At 34.6% G+C, this 2,313-nt stretch overlaps 2 annotated features.

Moving 5' to 3' along the window:
• Positions 448-696: an enhancer, noted in NCBI's record as "F2 sequence". NCBI's record gives the evidence for it as "EXISTENCE:transgenic organism evidence [ECO:0001131][PMID:19234473]".
• Positions 663-684: a protein binding site, noted in NCBI's record as "MSX1 site". NCBI's record gives its function as "promotes enhancer activity" and the evidence as "EXISTENCE:protein binding evidence [ECO:0000024][PMID:19234473]".

Below are 2,313 nucleotides of genomic sequence, written 5' to 3' on the forward strand. Positions count from 1 at the left end.
AAAGGCCTTCGCCTCTCCCAACAAAGAATTACCTGGCCCCGAATATCAGTAACACTGAAGCTGAGGAACCCTGCCTTAGTCTACATCAATACTATAAATTCCGTGCCTTATGAATATCAGGTACTCAGTAAATGCTTAAGGAATAAACACATGTATAAATTAAAGGTTCTGAACTAGAATAAGTGTTTACATTTGGTCACTAATACTCCTTTGTTAACCTGTTTCACCCTGGATCTTGCCAGCCTGCCTAGACATACATACTTAGCATTTCTTCCTGCCATCTCTGACTTCCTCAGACTGCCCAGCTCCAACCTCGGTGTGTTAGATTCCTCTCCTTCATGGTCCACGCCTGCTCAGGCACTCAGTCTCCGACTTGACAGCCTGCTGAGACAGAAGACCACAGAAGCAGGGTCAGTAGAAGATCTGGAACCAGGAGCAGCAACAGTCCCCACTACCTATTCTAAACAGTAACGTCACTTGATGAATTTCGGCAGTTTTCCCATTTTATGCCAGGCCCTGTTGATACAAGTGCTGTAGCTGTAATGAAGTTAAACTCAATATATTTTTTCCTCTAGTTATAACTGGCAATAATTTTGCAAGTTCCCAGCTACCGTGGAATCCATTCAGGGCAGGCAAAAAAAAAAGCAAACAAACTCCAGTATGAAATGTAATTGTGGTTGCCACATGTGAAATAGGTTAGCTACCAACATTTCTTGTTACCTTTACTCTGTGGACACTGGCTTTTGCTTAAACTAAGTGTATTTTGCTATTTGGAAATGGAGACAATGATCTGGGCATTTTATTGGAAAAAATGGCTTTTCCTGGAATAATTCAGATTATAGAGACAAAATGATACTTAAAATATGTTGCCAAAGAGTGTACCAACATTTGACATTCTTAATCTGAGAGATGTGAAAATACACTATGTGCCCAGGTCTGAAAATATGACTAGACATAGTTAATTAATGCATGTATACTATATATAAACAAATTGACCTGGCTGTGTGCTTTATCCATCTAATCATCACGGGGACCCTCTGAGGTATATTATGATATCCTCATTTTTATAGTTAAGGGTAGTGAGAATCGGAGAGGTTGAATAACTTCTAAGATCACATACATAGCAAAGGAGACTTCTTAACTTACAATTAGAATGAAGATAGATAAAAAGGGTTCATTATATTATAGAAAAATATTAACCATTAAATTTGAACACATTTGACATTAGAAGATGTCCCTAAAATTTTGACAATAAATGCAGGTTTTAATTTTCCACAGTGCCAAGTTACCATCGTTAAAATTTTGCATCTGTCTATAACATCTATGTTATTCCTTCAGTTAAACAACTTTGTAGAAGTATAGTTTTTCTCAAATTTATAGTTCTCTCTGATCCTAACAAAAGGAAATTACTATTTTAAGTACTTTTCAAGGTAGAAAATTTCTTCTCTAAAAATAATGTGTCAATAACACTGAGCCATGTTCTAATATCTTTTAAGTATGGACTTGTCCGTGCGAATACTTTACTGTGTCATTAGGTGGAAACCGTGGGTCACTTTTAAACAAATATTTGGATGCAACTTCATGAGAAAAATGTTTCCAGGGTTAAGAGATGATACTCTGAAAAAAAGGAAAATTCAAGGTACTTATAGCTACTGAAAGGTTTTTTTTTTTTCCTTAATGGTACTTAATTCATGTTGTAAGTAAACTGTATTTATACAAGCGAAAGCACACATTTTATTTAAGTAGACCAATTTGCAAAGAGCCCTGTACATACATCTGTAACGTACTATAAACATGAACATACAGAGTCCTTTTATACTACTTCTTTTTTTATATATTTTTATTTCGTATCAAGGATTTCTACTGACGTCAATGGCAGTCTCAGAATTGGAATGAGTAGTGTAGATTAAACATTAGTGGCTGAGAGAATTTTATCTCATTTGCTAAGAAAAATCTTGCATAAGGGATCTAATCAGTTAATCTTAATTAAAGAAATATTACTTGTTTCGGTCTTTCCAATTGGGATGAACAACAGCAACAATATGAAAAACTTCTTCAATATGAATAACAGGCTTAAAGTTTCAGACACTTGAATGTTTTAATTGGGTGGAAACCTGTAATAAATTACTTTCTATTTCATCATAATACAGCTTTTTTCAATGTCCAAATATTCATTACCAGAATTTCCACAATTATATAGGGAAGCAACATAAAACTCAAGTCATAAATTCACATTTGTATTGACTGAAAAAAATTAGTCTCCATTTAAATACCCTTCCCATTTTGAAACTAGCTTTTATCCCTGTCTAGTTT

The sequence above is a fragment of the Homo sapiens genome, chromosome 17 (assembly GCF_000001405.40).
Source record: "Homo sapiens chromosome 17, GRCh38.p14 Primary Assembly".
In the NCBI taxonomy this organism is placed as follows: Eukaryota; Metazoa; Chordata; class Mammalia; order Primates; family Hominidae; genus Homo; species Homo sapiens.